This window comes from Homo sapiens, chromosome X (assembly GCF_000001405.40).
Source record: "Homo sapiens chromosome X, GRCh38.p14 Primary Assembly".
Taxonomy (NCBI): domain Eukaryota; kingdom Metazoa; phylum Chordata; class Mammalia; order Primates; family Hominidae; genus Homo; species Homo sapiens.
In genome coordinates, this window is record NC_000023.11 from 2607741 (window position 1) to 2633848 (window position 26108).

Consider the following 26108-nt stretch of genomic DNA (forward strand, 5'->3'; position numbering starts at 1 on the left):
GCACAGCCGTCCTGCTGTATCATCAGCCACCCTGATACCTTTGCTCAACGTGTTCTGCCATGCTTAGAATACAACTTCTGGCCGGGTGCGGTGGCTCATGCCTGTAATCCCAGCACTTTGGGAGGCCGAGGTGGGCGGATCATGAGGTCAGGAGTTCGAGACCAGCCTGGCCAACAAGGTGAAACCCTGTCTTTACTAAAAATACAAAAAGTAGCCTGGCATGGTGGTGCATGCCTGTAATCCCAGGTACTGGGGAGGCTGAGGCAGGAGAATCACTTGAACCCGGGAGGCGGAGGTTGCAGTGAGCCAAGATTGTGCCACTGCACTCCAGCCTGGGCCACAGAGCAAGACTCCATCTCAAAACAAACAAATAAACAAACAAACAACACACAGACAACTTCTATCCTGTAGGAGACTTCCTGCTTCGAACTGGCTGCTGGGACTCCAGCCATCACGTCATTATCCCAGGCAGGTTCAGGATGAAGCAAAGACCAAAAAAAAAAAAAAAAGAAAGAAAAAAGAAAAATGATTCTGCCTCCAGGAGTGGAGTGCATAGTTAGACTGCTGCATTCCTCAAACCCCTGAGGTGGGCCCCAGGGTGCGGGGCCAGCCCCTCTGGCCTTGCCTGTGTCTGATCCAGGGGCACAGGTGGCCTGGGGAGAGACGGAGTCACCCGCAGGCCTGAGACAGCACAAGACCAGTGTTACCGAAGGGCCCCTGACGCAGCCTGCTGGGGTGAGTCGCCAAGGACCAGGACTCAGCCAGGCGACCCAGATAGGGGTCTTACCCCCAACCCCAAACCACGACCACAAGTCCTCACTCCCAACCCTGTCTCTGAGCTTGCGGCAGAACGTCCTTGGTCCCGCGCAGAGCGGGTATCCGCAGTGTGTCTCAAAGCCCCCCACCCCCGCCATCTTTCACCACTGAGCGCCCCCAGCTCGGACGCTCCAGAAAGGACCAGGGGCCGTGGCTGCCTGTCAAGGCCTACGCCTTTCTAAGCAGGGAGGGGATTGCACTTTGCACCCCTTGGGGATCGCCCTGAGCGCCCCGTGAGCAGCTGGAAGGGGGCCCCATAGTTTTCCGAGCAGAGGAGCAGGAAGAGTTTCATTTCCTCCCCGTTGGGGCTGCCTGGGGGGGGTGCCTGTTAGGAACAGAGAGGGGACAGCAAGGGCGGGCGCGGAGAGGCCCACACCTCTCCAAGAAGGGCAGCGGTTTCTCTTGGCTCCAGGTAGGGGCCGCCCTGGGGCGTGCATTTAAGGGGCTGTAGAGAGGGAGGGACCCGCACTTTCCCGAGAATGTTGGGGGTTTCACTTTGCTCTAGTTGGCGGCATCCTGGCGACGGGCTTGTGGGCGGGGGGCACTCACAGTTTCCTGAGAAGGGAAGGAGGGCGTCCCGTGGTCCCCTCGGCGCGGCCCGAGCCACCTCCGCCCGCCCCCTCCTCTGTCCCCTCCCCGGGCCCGGCGTTCCCTCCCCTTCCGTGCGCCAGTGGAGGCCGGGGTGGGGCGGGGCGGGGCAGGCGCAGCCTGGGCTGAGTTTGCAGGGCTGCTCCCCTCACCCAACCCCTTCGAGTCCTCCGCGGGCTCCGCCCCACCCGGCCCGTGGGGGAGGTTCCGTCCCGCCGCCTTCGCCCGCGCGCTGCACTCGCGGACGATCTCTGCTCGCCTTGGGCGCGCCGTGGCGCGCGGGGCCGTGCTGGCGCTGCGGCTCCTCGGCCTGCTCCGCCGTCTGGTGGCCGCCCCGGTGAGCGAGCGGCGGGATCCGGGTGGGAGGACGCGGGGGGTGGCGCGGGCTGGGCCTGGGGATCCGCCTGGGGATGTGGGGTGCAGGGGCGGGGCGCCCCGCGGGGACACCCGGCCCCTCTTCCGTGCCCGGCGGGACGCGCTGTGCCCACGGGGACCCAGGTCCGGAGGAGGCGCCCACTTTCTCCCCAGCGCTCTTCCTGGGGCCAGGTGGGAGCCGTTTCAGAGGAAAAAGCCAGCGTTTCTTTCGTAAACCAAAAAGTATCTGGGACAAGTCCCAATCCTTTTGAGTTGATTCGGCGAAGATCAGGAAGGAGCCCGGGAGACGGGTCTATGCCTTTCTCCAAAGATACTATTGAGAGCTTCGGTATTTAAAGGGGGAAAGCACGCTGGAGGGGAAAGAAGGAGGAAGGCTCATTTTACCGAATTCACCTGTTGCAAAAGAAAAGCAGCAGGTAGAATAGTCAATTATGTATTTGTCTTGCGCTCACTAAATTGGCACTTTACTAAGATAAGGTCAACAGAGAGTTATTGCACTGTCTGCTTGGGAACAGAAGGAAAGACAGCTTCCTGCCTGACTCAGCTTCCAGCTTTATTATTATTATTATTAATTATTTTGGCAGAGTGAACTGGGGTTCCAAGTTTTAATTTTCCTTCTACAGTTTGCAGAATCGCAAACTCTTAAATTTAGGGGAACCTGGGGAAGAGGTGGCATCCGATTCCCCCCCAACCCTGGTGACGTTCTTATGGATCTTATGGATACTGCAGTCTCTCTTCTCTTTCTGTCTCTCCTCTCTTCTCTTTCCTTTCTCTCTCTCCTCTTCTCTCCCTCTTCCTCTCTCTCTCCTCTCCTCTCTCTCTCTTCTCTCCTGTTCCCTCTCTCTCTTCTCTCTCTTCTTTCTCTCGCTTTTCTCTCTCCTCACTCTCCTCTCTCCCTCTCTCTCCCCTCTTTCCTCTTTCTCTCGCCTCTCTCTCACCTCTCTCCTCTCTCCCCTTTTCTCTCTCTCCCCCTCTTCTCTCTCTCCCCCTCTTCTTTCTCTCCTTTTCTCTCTCGTCTCTCTCTCCTCTCCTCTCTCCTCTCTCTCTCCTCTCCTCTCTCTCCTCTTTTCTCTCTCCCATCTCTCTCTCTCCTGTCTCCTTCTCTCTTGTCTCTCGCCTTTCTCCTCTCTCTATCTCCTCACTCTCTCCTTCTCTCTCCTCTCTCTCTTGTCTCTCTCCCGCCTCTCTCATCTATCTCCTCTCTCTCTCCCCCCTCTCCTCCCTCTCCTCTTTCTCTCCTCTATCTCCTCTCTCCCCCTCTTTCTCTCTCCTCTCTCTCTCTTACTCCCTCTTTTTCTGTCTCATGCTCATCTTTTACTGTTTTCACCTGAGGGAAGAGTGATGAGAAGATAGGAATTCACGTTTTCTGAAGTATTTAGAAACGTGGGGCCGTGGTGTTTTCTCCACCTGTTTTTGGGTCATTCCTTCCTCATTTCTCAGAACATTGGTATTAACAGCTCATTTCCCTCCTTTAAGGGCTGACTTTGACTTAGCGATGCCTTTCCTGATGGAGGAAACAGTGAGTAACTTTTTAAAGTCTCCTCTGTTGCTGACTTTGCTGATTGTCATTGAATTATTATCATTTTCAAGACATCTCTTTTGCGTGATAAATGGATTGAGTTTGGACAGTGGGAACATAGGAAGTATATGTGTTGTTTATTTTTGTTGTTGGATTTTTGATATATTTTTTTTTTGTTACCAGCATGCTGGTTTTTTTGTTTTTTTTGTTTTTTTTTTTTTTTGAAGTGTAGGTTCAGAGTCTCACTCTGTGGCCCAGGCTGGAGTGCGGTGGCGCGATCTCGGCTCACCGCAACCTCCGCCTCCTGGGCTTAAGCGATTCTTGTGCCTCAGCCTCCTGAGCATCTGGAATTACAGGCACCCACTACCACGCCCGGCTAATTTTTGTCTTTTTAGTAGGGGCTGGGTTTTGCCATGTGGAGCAGGCTGGTCTCTAACTCCTAAACTCAAGCTATGCACTCACCTTGGCCTCCCAAAGTGCTGGGATTATAGGTGCAAGCCATCACGCCCAGCCAGTATGCTGGCTTTTATTTTAAAATGGTTAGTCTTTGGAACAACGTAAGGCAAATGTGACTCCCTTGGCCAGGTCAGGCCTCGTGGGCATAGATCTGCGCAGTCACACAGGGACCTGTGCACACAAGGGTGCCATGCTGCTTTATTGCTGTGTTGCTGCCATCTTCAGATTCTTCATACAGTTGGAACAATGGGTCGCACATTTTCATTTTCACAGGCCCTCCCAAATTCTGGAGGTGGTCTGCACACCTGGTTTAGTTTTCTTTGAAAATACTTGAAGTTAAATCCTGTACCTGGAAGACAACAGAAGGGAATTGGCAGGAGGCTACGTGTATGGGTATCCCCACCATGACAAAAACAAGGGCCAGTTTTTACCTGTTTAGTGAACAGTCTCTGTGCAAATTGATATTTCAGTTTCTTTTCTCATCGCTATGGAAATTGATTTTTCATTTTCTGGTCGCTGTGGAAATTGATTTTTCATTTTCTTTTCTGGTCGCTATCAAAATTGATTTTTCATTTTCTGGTCGCTATGGAAATTGATTTTTCATTTTCTTGACTACTAGGTACTGATGATTGCAACTCTCATGTTTTACAAACAGGTGACCCAGCACCACCTAATGCCCCCAAACCAAAGCCAGATCCAAACCCCAACCGACCTGGTTTCACTGGTAAGAGCCTCTAACCCTACGGGTGGTCTCTATATTGTTTATTGTAACTTTATTTTATACTTATTCATAAGAATATTAATTCACATTTTCTCATGTTTTCTCATTTCTATCATATGACATTTACTGACAAATACTATTCTATCTAAATATATAATAAAATACATTAATTCCTTTAATCCCTAATGTTGAAAACATTGTGTCTTCTGACATTTTAGAATTATGAATTACAAAGCCAATTTGAGTCAACTTTGTCTACTCTTTTTCATTCCTTTGAAGAGATTTCTGGCATTCAAATTGTCTAGATCAATGCTCATGAGTACTTTTATAGCTTTTAACCTGGTTGGTTGTTTGCCCCAGAATTGCACCAATTTGATTTGATACCAGGGTGTCTGCAAATGTCCCTGTCTTCGAACCTTTTCCAGTAGCAATTATCACCTACAAAACCTTTGTCAAATAGTGTAATTATTATATCAAACCGGTCTTAGTTTTACATCTCTCATTCTGAAATGTAAAAAGCATAATGCATCCCAATGGGCCACGGAGACTTCTTCTTTTGTGTATTGGATGCTTTGGCTTTGATCCTTCAATTCATGGTGCCCGCCACCAGGCCCAGCTCATTTTTGTATTGTTAGTAGAGATGGGGTTTCACCATGTTGGCCAGGCTGGTCTGGAACTCCTGACCTCAGATGTTCTGCCTGCCTCAGCCTCCCTACCTACTGATGTATGAGCCTTCTTCAGTGATTTATCAATATTAAAGATTACCAGCCACTTATTATGAAAATGGTTTTGCACTTTATTTTTGCCTTTGAATATTTTTAACAGGAATGTTTTACAAGTGGTATGTTTATTTTTTTATGGTGTCTTATGTTTGTGTGGATATCCTGCTTTTTGTAACTTTTTTTCCTTTTAAATTGAGAATCATTTTGCTATTGTCCCTTCTCTTCAGAGAAGTAAAACCTTCTTTTTAATTTCATTTGAATTGTTTATCACCATAGGTTGATTGAAGGAATGGTAACACGTTTTCAATGTTGAGTTTTTTCTTTTATTTTCTTTCCTTTTTTTATTTTGGAGACAGAGTCTCTCTCTGTCGCCCGGGCTGGAGTGCAGTGGCGTGATCTTGGCTCAGTGCAACCTCCACTTCCTGGGTTCAAGCAATTCTCGTGCCTCAGCCTCCCAATTAGCTAGGATTACAAACATGCACCACCATGCCCGGCAAATTCTTGTATTTTCAGTAGAGACGGGGTTTTGCCATGTTAGCCAGGCTGATCTTGAACCCCTGACCTCAGGTGATCCGCCCATCTCAGCCTCTCAAAGTGCTGGGATTACAGGTGTGAGCCACCATGCCGGCCTGAGCTTTTTCTTTGAGATTCGATTTGTCTCTTCCTCTTGTTGATTCTGTCAATGGGTTTCTAAAGTGTTTTTTCCTTGTTTTTGTTACTCTGAATCCATTTTCATGTCCACTATTTTTCTGTTTATTTCTGTCATGTAGAAGAGATTGTGTATATATTTTTTGCAATCCATGAAATGATGACCCTTTGTTAAATTTCAATTTTTTTTCTCTTCATTTCTGACCTTTTCTAAGAAGTTGGTCATGTTATTTGGTAATGGGTTTTTAAAATTTTCCCTGTTCCTAGATTTATACGTTCTCTTTACAGTTTATTTGTAATTTAGTTCTATGGCCTTTGCTAGAAGACTCAGGACAACTTTTAATATGTAGAGTTGTAAATATGGTAGACAACTTTTTTTCCAGACATTAGGACAAAAACCCAAAGAGATTCACCTTTAAATAAAATAAGTCATTTCAATAAGTGTCTTTCTCTTCTAGTATACTTTTTTTCTGAACACATAGGTTCTCATACCATGAGATTTCTTATTTCTATACAATGTATGTGAAAAATCATGTGCTTTTTATTCATTGCTTGTGTATTTTAATATGGTTTTGAAAAAAAGATTCATTTTGATGTAGCCCCTCATGTTTCTTTCATTTGAGCCTCCCTTATCACTCCCAATATAAAATGTGCCTCGACCTTAATTGGGATTTGAAAAGCTTGGAACTAGAAGGCTGGGCCAGGTAAGGTGGCTCACACCTGTAATCCCAGCACCTTAGGAGGCCAAGGCGGCTGGATCACTTGAGGTCAGGAGTTCAAGACCAGCCTGACCAACATGGAGAAACCCTGCCTCTGCTAAAAATACAAAAATTATCCTGGCATGGTGGTGCATGCCTGTAATCCCAGCTACTCGGGAGGCTGAGGCAGGAGAATGGCTTGAACCCGGGAGGCAGAGGTTGCAGTGAGCCGAGATCACACCACTGCACTCCAGCCAGGCAAAAGGACAAAACTCCATATGAAAAAAAAAAAAAAAAAGAACTAGAAGGCTGGCTTTGAAACTAGCATGAATGTCACATTAGTTTGTGGAGCCCAGCTGGGTGGGTAGAGCCACTTTTCAGACACAGATCAGAATCCGTCAGTCACAGATCAGATCACAGTCACCTGCCCTACCTCTTACGGTCTGCCTTGCTGAAGGTGTTGGGGACCTGGGAGGAGATAATGGGGAATCAACGGGACAGAGTTGTGTGCAGGCAGATTCAGAGTCCCAACTGGGTCCAGGCAGCACAGTTGATTTACAAATGACATTCTTTCTCTCTCCCTCTTTCTCTTGCTGTCATCTCTTACTCTTTTCATCTGGGGGAAGAATGATGTGAAAATGATCAGGAATTTACTTTTTCAAATGAGATCCTAGTCAGTGTGATATTCAGAAAAGTCTTTAGTCATGTGGGTCTCTGGTGATTTCTCCATCTGTTTCCGAGGTCATTCCTTCCTCATTTCTCAGAGCTTTACTATGAACAGACCGATTCCTTCCTTTAGGGGCAGACTTTGACTTAGCAGATGCCTTTGGTGAGGGAGGAAACAGTGAGTAACTCGTTAAAGTCTCCTCTGTTGCTGATTTGTTATTGTCACCAAATGACTGTCATTTCCAAGAGACTTATCTCTTTTGCATAATCCATGGATTGGGTTTATACAGTGGAAATATTGGAAGTATATGCCTTGTTGTGTTTTATTTTTGTTGTTGTTGGATTTTTGTTTTTTTTCCCACCAATATGCTGGCTTTTATTTTAAAATTGTTACAGACTTTGGAATGATATAAGGCAAATGTCACTTCCCTGGCCAGGTCAGACTTCATGGGCATGTGACATGTGATGTCACACAGGGACCTGTGCATACAAGGGCACCATATTGGTGTATTACTCAGTAGCTGCCATCTTGAAATTCGTCATAAAATTGGAACAGAATCTTGCATTTTCATTTTGTGCAGGGCCTCTCAAATTCTGGAGGTGGTCTGGACACCTGGCTTAGTTTTCTTTGAAAATACTTGAAGTTAAATCCTGTAGCTGGAAGATGATGGAAGGGAATTGGCAGGAGGCTATGTGTATGGGCATCCCCACCACGACAAAAACAAGGGTCATTTTTTACCTGTTTAGTGAAAGGTCTCTATGCAAATTGATTTTTCATTTCCTTTTCTGGTCGCCATGGAAATTGATTTTTCATTTTCTTGACTGCAAGGCACTGATGATCGCCAACTCTCATGTTTTACAAACAGGTGACCCAGCACCACCTAATCCCCCCAAACCAAAGCCAGATCCAAATCCCAACTGACCTGGTTTCACTGATAAGAGCCTCTAACCCTACGGGGTGGTCTCTATGTTGTTTACCTGGCAGTGATGTCCGTGTCATCTGAGAAGAGGAGATTTCAGGTGAGCCTGTTCCTACTGTTGAATTACAAGGTAATTCCAGTGTTCAAGTAGTGGAAAACCTAGATTACGAAAATATGTTTTTGGTTTGGATTTTATTTTCCTTTTCTTGATTTTACTTCAAAGATAAATGGAACTTCCAAATCATTGAATAAGAGCTTTTAGATGTAGACTTGATATGAGGAAAAGAATCTGTGTGTTTCCCATGGAGAAGCCAACTTGTTTTAAACAATTAGATTTTTACTGAGTGTTTTTCTTTACATGTTTGTTTAATTTTTAACACAGAAATCTATCCAGATGGTCTAAATCCTGTTGACATTTTTATGGTTTTTTGCTGGTTATGTTATTATTGGCATAAGAATATTCCTTGACCATTTTCTCATGTCATTTAATCGTTTGTATCATACGACTTTACATTATTATACTACAGACTTAATTACATACTTTGGTTTCTTTAAGTAATCCCTAATTCTGAAGTTATGTTTCTTCTGATGTTTTGGAATTATCAATTACAAAGCAAATTTGACTGCCCTTCATGCACTTTCCTTTATGTTTGAAGATATATTTCTAGAGTGCAAGTTGTTTACATCGATGTGTGTGAGTACTTTTGTAGCTTCTGACATGGTTTTGAAATTGCCCCAGAATTGCACCAATTTATTTTGATGGCGGCGGGGTGTGCAGATGACCCTTTCCTCACACCGTCTCCGATATTGGTGTTCACCAAAACATCTTTATCCAGTAGTGCAAAATGTCATGCTAACCTTGTCTTAGTTTCACGTCTTTAATTCTGAAACTTGAAACAAAAACAATGCATCAGTGGGCCATGGAGACTTCTTCTTCTGTGTATGGGATACTGTGTCTTTTATTCTTCTATTCTGGTATGTCCTCCCTGATTTCTAGTCATTTTTGAATTATTTATAGACAGTAAACATTGCCCAATATATTATGAAAATGTGTTTCCACTTTATTGTTGCCTCTGAAAACATTTTGAACAGAAGCTTTTATAAGCAAGGCTTGAATTTTTCTTTTTTATGTTGTCTTAGGTTTGTGTGAGTTTCCACCTTTGTGTAACACATTTTTCCTTTTAACAGAACCATTTTATCACTGTCTCTCTTCCTTCTTGGGAAAAAGAAAACCATCTTTTTCTTTTCATTTGCATTACTTACAACTATGAATTGATTTATAGAGTGCTAAAATATTTGTAAAATCGAGCAGATTCTTCTGTGTGCCTTTTTCTCCTGGTGATTTATTTAAATGGATTTCTAAGGTGTTTTCCCGTCAGTATTGATTTGTTTTGGTGAGTACGATTTTATGTGCGCTATTTGTCTCTCTGTTTCTGAACTATAGCAACATTTTTGTGCATTCTCTCTTACTCTCCACTGAATGATGAACCCTTGTGAACTTCCAATTGTTTTCTCTTCATTTCTTAATGTTTCTGAGAAGACCGACATATTATTTGTAAGTGATTTTAAAATTTGTCTCCTTTTCTATGTTTTTTCGTTGTCTTCAGAGTGTCTTCAGAGTGCATTCGTATTTTTGTTGAATTGGCTTTGCTAGAGAACACATGATGGCTTTAAGTATGAGTGAAGAGAGTAGACATTTTTTATTCCTGATTTCAAGGTAAAAACCTAAAGAGGTTCACCTGTAAATAAAATAAATTGTCTTTACAAAACCAGATACTCATTCCAAGAAGATCTCTCTATTCTAGTATACTTTTTTTTCTAAACATACAATAGTATAGGTTCTCATACTGTGAGACTTCTTATTTCTTTATACACAATATATTTGAAAAGTCATTGGTTTTTTAGTGATTACTAATGTACTGTTACATGGTTTTGAAAAGTGTTGGATTCAAAGTTTCCTTCATTTAAGCCTCTTTTTTCTCCCTTCCCCATATAAAAAGTTGATGATGGCCAGGAATAGAGGTTCACACATATAATCCCAGCACTTTGGGAGGCTGAGATGGGAGCATCTTTTGAGCCCAGGAGTTCAAGACCAGCCTGGGCAACATAGCAAAACCCCCTCTCTACAATGAAATGAAAAATTAGCCAGGCTTGTTGGCACATACCTGCTGTCCCACCTGCTTGGGAGGCTGAGGCAGGAGGATTGCTTGAGGCCAGGAGGCGGAGCCTGCAGTGAGCCGTGGTCACACCACTGCACTCCAGCCTGCGTGACAGAGGAAGACCCTGTCTCAAAACAAAACAAAAATGGTTCCTCGACTTTAGTTAGGATTTGAAAAGCTTAGAACTGGAAGGCAGCCTCTGAAATTATCAAGAATGTCACAGCAGTTTGTGGAACACACCTGGGTGGGTAGACCCACTTTTTAGACACTCTCTAGCCCAAATCTGATCACAGTCATTCTTCCTCACCTCTTAGGGTCTCCCTCACAGAAGGTGTTGGGGGCCTTGGACGAGATGTTGATGGGATGGGAATAAACAGGAGCAAATAATGTGCAGGCGAAGTTGGAGTTCCTGCTCAGTCTGGGAGGAGAATTGATTTATGAATTTCTTTCTTTCTCTCTTTGTATCTATCTCTTCTTTCTCTCTCTCTCTCTCTCTCCCCCCAGCCACCTTCTGATCTCTAATCCATTCATGTGAGAGAAGAGCGATGTGAAAATGGTCAGCAATTTGCTTTTTCTGATGAGATCCTGGTGAGAGTCATGTTCAATAAAGTATTTAGTCACGTGGGGCTCCAGTGATTTCTCTGTTTACAAGCTCATTCCTTCCTCATTTTCTCAGAACTTTGGTGTTAACAGCCTGTTTCCTATTTGTAGGGGCTGACTTTGACTTAGCAGATGCCTTTCGTGATGGAGGAAATAGTGAGTAGCTCTTTAAAGTCTCCTCTCTTGCTAACTTGCTTATTATCGCCCAATTATTATCATTTGCAAGAGACTTACCTCTTGAGAATGATCAATGGAACTTGTTTGCACAGTGGAAACCTAGGGAGTAAGTGTGTTGTTGTCTGTTTTTGATGTTGTTGGACTTTTGTTTGTTTTTTTTTTAACCAGTCCACTTGCTTTTGTTGAGAAACTCCTACAGTCTTTGGAATGATGTAAGGCAAATGTGACTCCCCTGGCCAGGTCAGCCTTCACGGGCATGCAGCTTGTGAAGTCACCCAGGGACCTGTGTTTACAAAAGCGCCATATTGGTTTACTGGTCTGTAGTTACCATGTTGCTCTTCTTCATACAGTTGAGACGAGGGGTCCCACATTTTTGTTTTGCACGGGACCTTGCCAACTCTGTCACTGATCTAGACACCTGCTTTAGTTTAATTTGATATTAAGCAATGTAGCCGGAAGATGATGGAAGAAAGTTGGCAGGAGGCTGTGTGTACGGTTATCCCTGTCATGACAAGCAACAAGCTCCAACTTTTACCTGGTCCGTCAGCCATCTCTATGCAAATTGATGTTTCATTTCTTTACTCCAAGACACTCATGATTGCAACTCTCATTGTCACAAACAGACGACCCAGCACCTCTTAATTCACCCAAGCTGAAGCCAAATGCGAACCCTGAGCAGCCTGGATTCATTGGTAAGTGCTTCTCACTCTATAGGTTGTCTGTATGTTGTCCACGGTAGAGTGGTATCCACATCAGATGGACGACAGGCTTTCAGATGAGCAGGTGCTTGCTATTGACTTTTTGTACAGTTACTCCAGTGGGCAGGGAGTGAAATACAGTTTTCTGAAATAGATATTTGACTTGCGTTCTATTTTTAGTTTGCTGATTTTACTTCCAAGATTGTATGGAACTTCTAAAACACTGAGCACAAGATTTTCTTATGAACTTGGTATAGAGAAAATGGCCTGTGCATTCCCTGTAGAGAAACTTGGGTGTTTTTGATGTTTTTGCCCTTGAATATTTGTATCAGCTATTTTGACACATGACAGCATTCTCAGGTAATCTGACTAGCAACTGTTTTTTGAACTGAATTGTTGTGAAACATTCAGGTTTTTAGTTCTTTTTTGTTTTTAATTTTTAACACAGAAACATAAATAATGTTCATATCCTCTTGGCATTGTGATGGTTATTTGCGCTTATATTTTATATATCAGTTTAAATGAAGCAAACGTTAAGTAATAAAGCCAGTCTTTTGTTCATACTGCATTGTAACATTATTATTATTATTTTTATTATTATTATTATTATTTGAGATGGAGTCTCGCTGTGTTGCCCAGGCAGGAGTGCAGTAGCGTGATCTCGGCTCACGGCAACCTCTGCCTCCTGGGTTCAAGCAATTCTCCTGCCTCAGCTCCTGAGTAGCTGGGATTACAGGCATGCACCACCATGCCCGGCTAATTTTTTTGTGTGTATTTTTAGTAGAGACAGGGTTTCACCATGCTGGTCAAGCTGGTCTCGAACTCCTGACCTTAGGTGATCTGCCCACCTCGGCCTCCCAAAGTGCTGGGATTACAGGCATGAGCCACTGAGCCTGGCCTATTTTATACTTATTAATAGTCACTGAACATTTGCTCATGTCATTTTATCATTTATATCATATGACATTTACTGTCAATTATATTCTATATAAATATATAATACATTAATTTATTTAATCCCTAATGTTTAAAATATTGTGTCTTCTGACTTTTTAGAATTATGAATTACAAAGCAAATTTGAGTCAACTTCATCTACTTTTTTTTTTTTTATTATTCCTTTGAAGAGATTTCTGGCATTCAAATTGTCTAGATGAATGTATATGAGTCCTTTTATAGTATTTGACCTGGTTCGTCATTTGCCCCAGAATCGTCCCAGTTTATTTTGATGATGGTGTGTGCAGATGTCTGTCTTCACACCATCTCTATACTGGTTATCACCTGCAAAACCTTTGTCACATAGTGTAAGGATTATATCAAACTTGTCTTAGTTTCGCATCTCTAATTCTGAAATTTAAAAAAAAATAGTGCATTCCAGTTGGCCATGGTTACTTCTTTTGTGTATTGGATGTTATCCCCTTTATTCTTAAATTCTCATATGTACCTACTGATTTATAAGTCTTCTTCAGTTATTTATGGATATTAAAGATTATCAGCCACTTACTATGAAAATGTTTTTGCTATTTATTTTTGCCTTTTAATATTTTTAACAGGAATGTTTCATAAGCAAGACCTATTTTTTTATGGTGTCTTATGTTTGTGTTGGTTTTCTGGTTTTGTGACTTTTATTTTAATGGAGAATAATTTTGCCATTGTGTCTCCTGCTTGGGAGAAGTAAAACTGTCTTTTTAATTTCATTTGAATTGTCTTCAAACATAAGTTGATCAAAGAAGTTGTGAAACATTTTCAAAGTTGAGCTTTTTCCTTGAGATTTGATGCATCTGTTTCTCCTGATGATTTTTGTCAATGGATTTCTCAATTGTTTTTTGTTTTTGTTTTTGTTTTTTGTTTCTCTGAATCTATTTCTAAGTCCACTATTTTTCTGTTTATACTATAATATACAAAGGATTTTGTGTATTTTTCTTTACGATCCACAAATTGTTTGCAAATTATTTTTTTTTAATTTCCCCTTTTCTATATTTGTACATTTTGTTTACAGTTTATTTGTAATTTGGTTGTACTGTCTTTGCTAGATAAACCCAGGACAGCTTTTCATATGTAGAATTGTAAATACAGTAAACAGCTTTTATTTCAGGCTTTAGGGCAAAAACCCAGAGAGATTCACCTTTAAATAAAGTAAATCACTTCAAAAAGCCTCTTTCTACTCCAGTATACTTTTTTTTCCCTAAACGTATAATAGTATAGTTTCTCATACCATGAAATTTCTTATTTATATATAATATATTTGACTAATTATTTGATTTTTATTGATTACTCATGTACTCTTACATAGTTTTGTAAAAATGTTGGATTTGATGTAGCCCCTCATGTTTCTTTTATTTAAGTCTCCTTGTTATCCCCTTTCAATATAAAAATTTCCCCAACCTGGCCAGGCACAGTGGCTCACGCCTGTAATCCCAGCACTTTGGGAGGCCGAGGTGGGTGGATCACAAGGTCAGGAGTTCGAGATCAGCTTGGCCAATATGGTGAAACCCCATTTCTACTAAAAATACAAAAATTAGCTGGTTGTGGTGGCGGGCACCTGTAGCCCCAGCTACTCGGGAGGCTGAGGCAGGAGAATTGCTTGAACCTGGGAGGAGGAGGTTGTTGTAGTGAGCCGAGATTGTGCCACTGCACTCCAGCCTGGGGAACAGAGCAAGACACCGTCTCAAAAAAAAAAAAAAAGTTTTTCCCAACTTTAGTTGGGATTTGAAAAGCTTAAAACTAGAAGGCAAACTCTGAAACCATGGTGAGTTTTCACGTCAGTTTGTCCAGCATAAATGGGTTGGCAGAGTCACTATTTAGACACCCTCTAACCCCTCTTAGGGCCTCCCTGGTGGAAGGTGTTGGTTACCTGGGGGGAGATGATATTTGGACAGGAAATCAACAGGAGAGAACCATGTGCAGGTTAGAGTTGGAATTCCAACTCTGTCCAGGCAGCACAATTGATTTATAAATTATTTTATTTCTCTCTCTCTGGCTCTCATCTTTTGTTCTTTTCATCAGAAGGGAGAGTGATGTGAAAATGATCAGGAATTCACTTTTTCTATTGAGATTCTGGTTAGAGGGATATCCAGAAAAGTATTTAGGAACGTGGGGTTATGGTGTTTTCTGCATCTGTTTACGAGACCATTTCTTCCTCATTTCTCTCAGAACTTTGGTGTTAACAGCCTGTTTCCCTCCTTTAGGGGATGACTTTGACTTAGCAGATGCCTTACATGACAAAGGAAACTGTGAGTAACTCCTTAAACTCTCCACTGTGGCTGACTTGCTTATTATCACCAAATTATTATTGTTTCCAAAAAACGTATCTCTTGTGAATGATAAATGAAACCTGTTTGCACAGTGGAAAGTTAGGGAGTAGGTGTGTTGTTGTTTGTTTTGGATATTGTTGGACTTTGTTTTTGTTTTTACCAGTATGCATAGTTTTATTTTAAAACTCTCACAGTCTTTGGAATGATGTAAGGCAAATCTGACTCCCCTGGCCAAGTTAGGCTTCATGAGTGTGTGACTTGTTCGATCACCCAGGGACCCATGCTTACAAGGGTGCCATATTGGTTTATGAGTCTTTAGTTGTCATCTTGAAATTCTTAATATTCAGTTGAGCAAGGATTTCTGCATTTTCATTTTACACAGTACCTTGCCAATTCTGTAGCTGATCTGAAAAGCTGCCTGATAGGTTTTATTGAAAATGCTTTATCAGTACTGTAGCTGGAAGATGTTGGAAGGATATTGGCAGGAGGCTGTGTGTATGGGTATCCCCACCATGACAAAGAACAAGGTCCAATTTTTATATGTTTAGTGAACGTCTGCATGCAAATTGATGTTTCATTTTCTTCACTTCAAGGCACTCATAATCTCAACTCTCATCTTTTACAAACAGACGAGCCAGCACCACTGAACCCACCCAAACCAAAGCCAAATCCAAACCCCAAGCAGCCTGATTCCACCGGTAAGAGCCTCTAACCCTATGGGTCATCTGTATGTTGTTTACAGGACAGTGATATCCATGTCAGCTGGGAGATTTCACATGAAACCTGTGCTCACTCTTCACTCCTTGTACAAGGAAATTCCAAAACCTAGTTTTCAACTATATAATTTTGATTTGGATTATATTTTTAGCGTCCTGATTTTACTTCTAAGATTTTAAGATTTAAGTCATAAATCTTAAATAGAATCTTAAATTCTGAGATTTTTTGGATTCCACCTCTAAAAAGTTGAATACGAGGTTTTAAATACAGACATGATATGAAGGAAGGGATAGTTGCATTCCCAGTGGAGAGGTGAGTGCTTTTCAAATAGTTAGATCGTTAGTGATTTTTTTTTGTTTACATGCTTGTTTAACTTGTAACACAGAAAAATATAACTAGTGTCCAAATCCTGTTGACAGTTTGATAGTTATGTGCTAGTAACGTTATTTTTGGCATATTCATATTTCTTGATGATTTTCTTATGTCATTTAAGTCTTTCTAACATGACTTTTACTGTCCATTTTATGTCCTTATTTATTTCCCACATAATTATATACTTCAATATTTAATTTTGACAATGTTATGTTTCTTCTAACATTTTAGAATTATGGATTTCAAAGTCAATTTGAATCAACTTTATGCACTTGTTTTTATTCCTTCGAATCAATTTCTAGAATGCAAATTGTTCAGATCAATGTGTATGAGTACTTCTGTAGTTTTGACCTGGTTCTGAAATTGGCCCAGAATTATATGAATTTATTTTGATGCCAGGGATATGTGCAAATGTCCCTTTCTTCCCACCATCGTTACTGCTGCTGATCACCTAGAAAACCTTTGTCATGTACTATCACATGTAACATTAATCTTTGCCTAGTTTCAGTTCTTTAGTTCTGCAATTTAAAAAAAAATAGTAAATAGTACATCAATTTGCCACGTATACTTCTTTTTTTTTCTTTTTTTTTTTTTTTGAGATACAGTCTCGCTCTGTCGCCAGGCTGGAGTGCAGGAGCACCATCTCAGCTCACTGCAACCTCTGCCTCCCGGGTTCAAGCAATTCTACTGCCTCAGCTCCCAAGTAGCTGGGACTGCAGGTGCATGCCACCATGCCCGGCTAATTTTTTTGTTTGTTTGTTTGTATTTTAGTAGAGATGGGGTTTCACCATGTTACCCAGGCTGGTCTCCAACTCCTGAGCTCAGGCAGTCCACCCGCCTCGGCCTCCCAAAGTGCTAGGATTACAGGCATGAGCCACTGCGCCCAGCCTACTTCTTCTATATGTATTGATTACTTTGCCTTTATTCTTATCTTCCGATATGTCTGTATTGTTTTATAAACGTTCCTCATTTTTTTATAGACATTAAATATTGCCAACCATTTACTATGAAAATGCTTTTTCATCTTATTTTTGCCATTGAATAGTTTAACAGTATTTTTTGACAGGCAAGTCTTCAAATTTTTATTCATGGTGTCTTATATTTGTCGGAGCTTTCTGATTTTGGTGACTTTTTTTTTTTTTTTTGAGAGAGTCTTGCTCTGTCGCCCAGGCTGGAGTGCAGTGGCACGATCTCCACTCACTGCAACCTCTCCCTCCCAGGTTCAAGCGATTCTCCTGCCTCAGCCTCCCCAGCAGCTGGGACTACAGGCACCCACCACCACGCCCAGCTAATTTTTGTGTTTTTAGTAGACACAGGATTTCACCATATTGGCCAGGCTGGTCTCGAACTCCTGACCTCATAATCTACCTGCCTCAGCCTCTCAAAGTGCTGGGATTACAGGCGTGAGCCACCGTGCCCAGCTGACGTTTTTTCCTTTGAACTTCAGAACCAACATGCCTGCAAAATTGAGATTTTTCTTGATATTCGATGTACCTCTTTCCCTGATGATTTCTTTTAATGCATTTCTAGTTTTTTCTTTTTTTTCATTTTTCTGGATATATTTTTATGCCCACTATCTTTCTGTTTATTTTTGTTACATAGAAAGGATTTAATATATTTTTCCTTACTATATCCTGAACTATGATCCCTTATTAAATTTCTATTTTTTCTCATTTCTTATCTTTCTAAGAAGACAATCATATTATTTGCACATGATTTTTAAATATTTTTCAATTTTCTATCTTTATATGTTCTCTTTACATTTTATTTGTATTTTTGTTGTATTACCTTTGATAGTAAACCCAGGACAGGTTTAAATATGAGTGAAGAGAGCAGATATTTTAAATTCCTGACTTTAAAGCAAAAACCCAAAGATACTCACCTTTAAATAAAATAAATTGCCTTTTTAAAAAATGTAGTCATTTCAGGAAGGGTCATTCTATTCTGGTATACATTTTTCCCCAAATATATAATATTATTGGTTTTCATACCATGAGGTTTCTTATTTCTTTATATATATATATTTGGATAATCATCTGGTTTTTATTGATTACTCATTAAAACCACGTAAGTTATTGATTACTCATTGAAACCATGTAAGTATATTCTTACATGGTTTTGGAAAAATGTCGGATTTGATGTAGCCCCTCATGTTTCTTTTATTTAAGCCTCCTTATTATCCCCTTTCAGTGTAAAAATTTCTCCAGCCTTAGTCAGGATTTGAAAAGCTTAAAACTAGAAGGCAACCTCTGAAACCACGGTGAATTTTCACGTCAGTTTGTCCAGTACGTCTGGGTTGATAGAGCCACCTTTTAGACACCCTCTAGCCCAAATCTGATCATAGTCATGTGTCCCCACCTCTTAGGGCCTCCGTGGCGGAAGGTGTTGGTTACCTGAAGGGAGATGGTGATGGGATGGGAAATCAACAGGAGGGAATCCTGTGTTGGCAGAGTTAGAGTTCCAACTTCGTCCAGCCAGCACAGTTCATTTATAAATTACTTTGTTTCTCTCTCTCTCTCTCCCTCTCTTTCCACCCCTGACTCTTGCTCTCATCTTTTACTCTTTGTGTCTGAGAGAAGAGTGATGTGAAAATGATCAGGAATTCACTTTTTCTTATGAGGTCCTGGTCACAGTGATACTTAGAAAACACTTAAGAACTTAGGCCTGTGGTGTTTTCTCCATCTGCTTCCAGGTCATTTCTTCCTCATTTCTCTCAGAACTTTGGTGTTAACAGCCTGTTTCCCTTCTTTAGGGGATGACTTTGATTTCACAGATGTTTCTTCATGGTGAACGAAACAGTGAGTAACTCTTTAAAGTCTCCTCTGTTGCCGAATTGCTTATAGTTTGTTTGTGTTTTTGGAGTGCTGTAGGAAGAGCAGTGATGAAGGTTTGAGGCTTCTAGATGCTTCCATATTAGTTGCCTGGGGCTCAGGCAGGGGCACACATGTGGACCCCTGGGGGGACATGACAGTTGAGCTAACAGCTGAGGAATGAGGATGACTTATATCCCAAGGAGTGGGTCAAAGGGTGTTTTGTGTAGCAAGTGTGGCATGTGCAAAGGGCCTGTGGTCAGTGGAACTGAGGGTGCCTGTGGGGCTCAGTGAGGGGGAAAAGAGGAAGTCAGGCATGGCATGGGATGGAGGGGAACAGAGTGAGGCTACAGTCAGTGCCCAGTCTTGAAAATGTCCCTTCGAGTGTCCCTAGGGGCCATCCTTGTTTTCAGTGCTTATTACCCCTGCTCCCCTCTGCTTGCTCCCAGAGAGCTGTCTCCTGCCTCCCAGCTCTGCGTCTCAGATCCTGGCTCTGATCCCACGCTGCTGTTGCTTACACTCATGTACCCATTGCTAATGTCATCATTCCCTTCGGCAGCTAAGTGCAAAGTTAATTTCCCATTTGAAAAGCAGTCTGTACTAATAACAATCAACTGGGAGACCCAAAAGAGTGCAGTTAAAGAGAAAAAAAAAAATCAAACTTTCCCTCAAAAGAAACCAGTGATACCATTTGGGTCCACCTCCCTGAGGTTTGAAAGCCTCTCCGTTAGTGTTAGTTGCTTTTAGGCCTCTTCTTGCTGCATTAGCAAGGTGTATCTTTCTCTTTATATGCAGACAGTGCCCTCTTCTGGTGGGAGGCTCTCAGTGTCTGTCTACAAATCCATGACCCAAGAGGTAGAGGGGTCCCAACGGTCCCACTTAACTTCTGCCAAAGTGGTGCCCTTGGGAATCCCCAACTTCCTGTGCCCACCTGTTCTAGCTACTTGGTTCACTTTGACCCAGCTCTTCAGGGGTGATACCCTCCCTCATCAGGCTCCCAGATCCCATCAGGTGTTGAAACCCCATGTGATAGGTGAAATACTGGTCCCCAGAGATGCCCACATCCTAACCCCTTGATCATGTAAATGTGTGACCTTATGCAACACATGGGACTTTGCAAATGGGATTACATTAAGGATCTTGACATGGGACGATTATTTAGGATGAGCTGTGTAATTACAGTGGAATCACAGGTTCCTTAGAGAGGCCTGCATCAGAGGATGAAGGAGTTGTTCACATGTGGAAAGAGACAGAAATAAAAGTGGAGAGGACCATTGAAAAAAAAAGTCATTGAAAGACTTTGGCACCCAGGTTGCCATGGCTGCCCCCAGCCCTTCAAATTCTCCTAAAGCCCCAAATGATCTTTCCCTGGAAGATGCACCAGCCCATTGGATAGCTTAGATGCAGCTGTTGGAGGGTGGATCTAGCCTGTGAGGACCCAGTAACCTGGACCCAATACATGACAACAAGGATTGAATGAGTGGTCGTTTACTGCTGAGTAATTGCTGGTTTTCCTGGCTACCTGGGCCCTGGGTCACATGGATGAGAGGGCTGGAAAAAATGATTATCAGCACAGAGTCCCAGAATCTCTGTGACTTCTGGTCACAGATATTTTGAGTGTATGTATAGAAAAAAGCAGTTGTTCCTACACATTCAGTGTCAGAAGTGAAGGATGAGAGGGGAGAGGGGTGTGCATGTCAAAGGAAAAAACAGCTTTTCCCCCCTGTACGTGAGGTCACAGCAAATTTGCAAGATTCAGTGCATGGTGAGAGAAGCAGGCAGCCGCTGACATCCAGGGGCTGGCCTGGCTCCCGCTACCTGGCTTGGGGTTTCCTGTTGGACCTAAGAAATGTCACAGACAGGACATTTTTAAAGTCAATAAGAAATGTCAGACAAGAGCACTGTGATGAAGTCAAGAGACCGTGGGTTGTGCTTTGGCTGGTTCTTGATTTATTTCTGCTCAAGGCAATCAGTATGCCAAGGTGGCATATTTCAGAGTGTCACGTAATGATCTACATTCTTATTCAGGGTGGGGTGTCCTGTACCCCATCAACTGGAAGGTTGTAGCACTTCCTGCTTTCTAGACATGGTAAATGAACTCCCTGGGTCACTGGGAAAGTTGTAGCACTTCCTGCTTCCTGGAGATGGTAAATAAACTTTCTGTGTCACATGGGAGGTTGTAGCACTTCCTGCTGCCCAGAGATGGTCAATGAACTTCCTGAGTCACTGGGAAGGTTGTAGTACTTCCTGCTTCCTGGAGATGGTAAATAAACGTCCTGGGTCACTGAGGAGGTTGTAGCACTTCCTGCTTTCCTAGAGATGGTCAGTGAACATCCTGGGTCACTGGGGAGGTTGTAGCACTTCCTGCTTCCTAGAGATGGTCAATGAACTTCCTGGAGATGTTAAATAAACTTCCTGGGTCACTAGCGAAGTTTGTAGCACTTCCTGTTTCCTGGGGATGGTAAGAGAACTTCCTGGGTCACTGGGGAGGTTGTAGCACTTCCTGCTTCCTAGACATGATAAATGAACTTCCTGGGTCATTGGAAGGTTGCAGCACTTTCTAGTTTAGAGGGACATTATAACACTTCCTGGTTTATCTGGAGATTGTAATGCTTTCTGATTCATAGGGACATTGTAAAACTTTCTGGCTCACATTGTTACATTTCCTGGTTCAAATGGATAATAGTAGCACTTCCTGGTTCACAGGGACATTGTGACACTTCCTGGTTCTTATGGGTAATTGTAGCATTTCCTGGTTCACAGGGACATTGCAACGCTTTTTGGTTCATACACATAATTGTTAGCACTTCCTGATTCCCAGGGACATTGCAACACTTCCTGGTTCATAGGGATAATTGTAGCACTTCCTGTTTCATAGGGACATTGTAATACTTTCTGGTTCATACGAATAACTCTAGTACTTCCTGGTTCATATAGATAATAGTAGCAATTCCTGGTTCACATGGACATTGCAACACTTCCTGTTTCACAGAGACATTGCAACACTTCCTGGTTCATTCTGATAATTGTATAACTTCCTGGTTTGCAGGGACATTGTAACACTTTCTGGTTCATATGGATAATAGCACTTCCTGGTTCATAGGGACATAGTAACATTTCCGGGTTCATACATACGGATAATTGTAGCACTTCCTGGTTCATACGGATAATTGTAGCACTTCCTGGTTTGCAGGGACATTGCAATACTTCCTGGTTCATATGGATAATTGTAGCACTTCTTAGTTTTTAGGATCATTGTGACACTTCCTGGTTCATAGTGACACTGCCACACTTTCTGGTTCATATGGATAATTGTAGAACTTCCTGGTTCATAAAGACATTTGGAACCGTCTGGTTCATAGGGATAATTGTAGCACTTCCTGGTTCATAGGGACATTGCCACACTTCCTGGTTCATCTGGATAATTGTAGCACTTCCTGGTTCATAGGGAAATTGTGACACTTTCTGGTTCATAGTGACATTGCCACACTTCCTGGTCCATGTGGATAATAGTAGCACTTCCTGGTTCGTAGGGACCTTACCACACTTCCTGGTTCATCCAGATAATTGTAGCACTTCCTGGTTCATAGGGATATTGCCACACTTTCTGGTTCATATGGATAATTGTAGCACTTCCTGGTTCATATGGATAATAGTAGCACTTCCTGGTTCACAGGTACATTACAACACTTCCTGGTTCATTCAGATAATTGTAAAACTTCCTAGTTTGCAGGGACATTGTAACACTTTCTGGTTCATATGGATAATTGTAGCACTTCCTGGTTCATAGGGAAATTGTGACACTTTCTGGTTTATAGTGACATTGCCACACTTCCCGGTCCGTGTGGATAATAGCACTTCCTGGTTCGTAGGGACATTGCCACACTTCCTGGTTCATCCAGATAATTGTAGCACTTCCTGGTTCATCGGTAAATTGTGACACTTTCTGGTTCATAGTGATATTGCCACACTTCCTGGTTCATAGTGACATTGCCACACTTCCTGGTCCATGTGGATAATAGTAGCACTTCCTGGTTCATAGGGACATTGCCACACTTCCTGGTTCATCCAGATAATTGTAGCACTTCCTGGTTCATAGGGATAGTGCCACACTTCCTGGTTCATAAGGATAATAGTAGCACTTCCTGGTTCACAGGTACATTACAACACTTCCTGGTTCATTCAGATAATTGTAGAACTTCCTAGTTTGCAGGGACATTGTAACACTTTCTGGTTCATATGGATAATTGTAGCACTTCCTGGTTCATAGGGAAATTGTGACACTTTCTGGTTCATAGTGACATTGCCACACTTCCTGGTCCGTGTGGATAATAGCACTTCCTGGTTCATAGGGACATTGCCACACTTCCTGGTTCATCCAGATAATTGTAGCACTTCCTGGTTCATAGGGATATTGCCACACTTTCTGGGTCATATGGATAATTGTAGCACTTCCTGGTTCATATGGAAAATAGCACTTCCTGGTTCACAGGGACATTACAACACTTCCTGGTTCATTCAGATAATTGTAGAACTTCCTAATTTGCAGGGACATTGTAACACTTTCTGGTTCATGTGGAGAATTGTAGCACTTCCTGGTTCATAGGGAAATTGTGACACTTTCTGGTTCATAGTGACATTGCCACACTTCCCGGTCCATGTGGATAATAGTAGCACTTCCTGGTTCATAGGGACATTGCCACACTTCCTGGTTCATCCAGATAATTGTAGCACTTCCTGGTTCATAGGGATATTGCCACGCTTTCTGGTTCATATCGATAATTGTAGCACTTCCTGGTTCATATGGATAATAGTAGCACTTCCTGGTTCACAGGTACATTACAACACTTCCTGGTTCATTCAGATAATTGTAGAACTTCCTAGTTTGCAGGGACATTGTAACACTTTCTGGTTCATATGGATAATTGTAGCACTTCCTGGTTCATAGGGAAATTTTGACACTTTCTGGTTCATAGTGACATTGCCACACTTCCCGGTCCGTGTGGATAATAGTAGCACTTCCTGGTTCATAGGGACATTGCCACACTTCCTGGTTCATCCAGATAATTGTAGCACTTCCTGGTTCATAGGGATATTGCCACACTTTCTGGTTCATATGGATAATTGTAGCACTTCCTGGTTCACAGGGACATTACACACTTCCTGGTTCATTCAAATAATTGTAGAACTTCCTAGTTTGCAGGGACATTGTAACACTTTCTGGTTCATATGGAGAATTGTAGCACTTCCTGGTTCATAGGGACATTGTAACACTTCCTGGTTCATAGGGACATTGTAACATTTCCAGGTTCATATGGATAATTGTAGCACTTCTTAGTTTTTAGGATCATTGTGACACTTCCTGGTTCATCTGGATTATTGTAGCACTTCCCGGTTTATAGGGAAATTGTGACACTTTCTGGTTCATAGTGACATTGCCACACTTCCTGATTGATATGGATAATAGCACTTCCTGGTTCATAGGGACATTGCCACACTTGCTGGTTCATCCAGATAATTGTAGCACTTCCTGGTTCATATGGATAATAGCACTTCCTGGTTCACAGGGACATTGTAACACTTCCTCTTTCATTCCGATAATTGTAGAACTTCCTAATTTGCAGGGACATTGTAACACTTTCTGGTTCATACGGATAATTGTAGCACTTCCTGGTTCATAGGGACATTGTAACATTTCCAGGTTCATACAGATAATTGTAGCACTTCCTGGTTCATAGGGACATTGTGACACTTCCTGGTTCATATGGATAATTGTAGCACTTCCTGGTTTGCAGGGACATTGCAATACTTCCTGGTTCATAGGGATAATTGTAGCACTTCTTAGTTTGAGGGACATTGTGACACTTCCTGGTTCATAGTGACACTGCAACACTTTTTGGTTCATATGGAAAATTGTAGTATTTCCTGGTTCATAACGACATTTGGAACCGTCTAGTTCATAGGGATAATTGTAGCACTTCCTGGTTCGTAGGGACATTGCCACACTTCCTGGTTCATCTGGATAATTGTAGCACTTCCTGGTTCATAAGGATAGTTGCAACACTCCCTGGGTCATCACCCCCATCCTGCCATCTGCTCCAGCCCTATGCAGCCACTCAGAAATCTACTTCCTATCCCATGGATTTGCCTATCAGGGGCATTTCAAACGGCCTCCCATGTGGTTTTGTGCCTGGCTTCTTTCACTCAGCATAATATTTTCGAGGTCCATCGATTTTGTACCATGCATCAGAATTTCATTCCTTTTGATGGCAGAATGACATTCCATTGTATGGGTAGACCACATTTTGTTTATCCATACACTTGTTGTTGGGCATTGGGTTATTTCCACTGTGTAACTACCATGAATAATGCTTAGCACTTAGCATACGGTTAAGACTTCTATGTACATACTTGTCTGAGTAACTGTCTTCAATTTTTTGGGTAAATACCCAGGAGGGGAATGGCTGGGTCATATGATAACTCTATGTTTAACCATTGAAGGATCCGCCAGGCTGCTTTTCAAAGCAACCGCACCATTGCACCATCCCACAAACAATATAAGAGTGCTCCAGTTTCTGCACATCTGAGCCAACACTTGTCACTGTCCATATTTGTCATTAGAGCCATCCTAGTGTGTATGATGGGCTATCTCATTGTGGTTTTGATTTGCATTTCCCTGATGACCAGATAGGTTGGCTTTCAAGTTTTCATGTTCTTTCTTCTTCTCTGTCAAGTAGATGAGTAATACTTAAATAAATATTTCTTACTCAGCATTTTGATGTATTTATTCATAGCCTTATTAATGCTTGACTTTATTTGTTTATCTCTCAGATATGGGTCTCTAAATGTCAGTTTCAAGAAGGAACTGTGTTTTGTTCAACTCCAAAATCCCCAGATCTATCTAGGACACTGCCTGAAACACAGAAGGGGTTAAAAAAATATGGATGAAATATAATAGCAAATGCATGTCCTATTTTAAAATATCGACAGTTATTCTATTTGCAGAACAATAAATTCAATGTGAAGACTAAGATACTGTTGATTATTTATGTGTGTATGCTCGTATATGTATATATACATACATATGTGTGTATACCTCTACATGTATGTATAGGTATGTATAGGTATACATATGTATATGTACAGACATATGTATAGGTATACATATGTATATGTACAGACATATGTATAGGT

At 42.1% G+C, this 26108-nt stretch overlaps 2 long non-coding RNA genes, 1 other non-coding gene and 1 pseudogene across 7 annotated transcripts in view, besides 1 other annotated feature; 2 read left to right on the forward strand and 2 right to left on the reverse strand.

Moving 5' to 3' along the window:
* LINC03112 (long intergenic non-protein coding RNA 3112) overlaps positions 1-1427 on the reverse strand; it is a 43139-nt gene extending 41712 nt beyond the window's left edge. For all 3 annotated transcript variants that reach the window (XR_001755779.3, XR_001755778.2, XR_001755777.2), the window contains exon 1: positions 1366-1427. This is a non-coding gene — a long non-coding RNA (long intergenic non-protein coding RNA 3112). The remainder of the gene's footprint in view (positions 1-1365) is intronic.
* Positions 798-1322: an enhancer, noted in NCBI's record as "H3K4me1 hESC enhancer chrY:2476579-2477103 (GRCh37/hg19 assembly coordinates)". NCBI's record gives its function as "activates a minimal SCP1, AML or CMV promoter by ChIP-STARR-seq in primed H9 embryonic stem cells {active_cell/tissue: H9 hESC(primed)}" and the evidence as "EXISTENCE:reporter gene assay evidence [ECO:0000049][PMID:30033119]".
* Positions 1428-1450: 23 nt separating the features above from the next.
* MIR6089 (microRNA 6089) lies at positions 1451-1514 on the forward strand. Its single transcript, NR_106737.1, has one exon. It is a non-coding gene; the product is annotated as a microRNA 6089 (primary transcript).
* Positions 1515-1524: 10 nt separating this feature from the next.
* Positions 1525-26108, forward strand: part of CD99P1 (CD99 molecule pseudogene 1) — a 47965-nt pseudogene continuing 23381 nt past the window's right edge. The window contains exons 1-9 of one of the 2 annotated variants that reach the window (NR_033381.1): positions 1525-1741; positions 3256-3298; positions 4410-4478; positions 8076-8229; positions 11000-11044; positions 11689-11757; positions 14950-14994; positions 15645-15713; positions 18857-18902. The product of NR_033381.1 is annotated as a CD99 molecule pseudogene 1, transcript variant 2 (transcript). The remainder of the gene's footprint in view (positions 1742-3255; positions 3299-4409; positions 4479-8075; positions 8230-10999; positions 11045-11688; positions 11758-14949; positions 14995-15644; positions 15714-18856; positions 18903-26108) is intronic. The other variant, NR_033380.1, reaches the window with a different exon arrangement.
* On the reverse strand, positions 5251-7607 carry LINC00102 (long intergenic non-protein coding RNA 102). The gene is made up of 2 exons (NR_037842.1): positions 6977-7607; positions 5251-5956 (listed from the first exon to the last, which is right to left on the reverse strand). It is a non-coding gene; the product is annotated as a long intergenic non-protein coding RNA 102 (long non-coding RNA).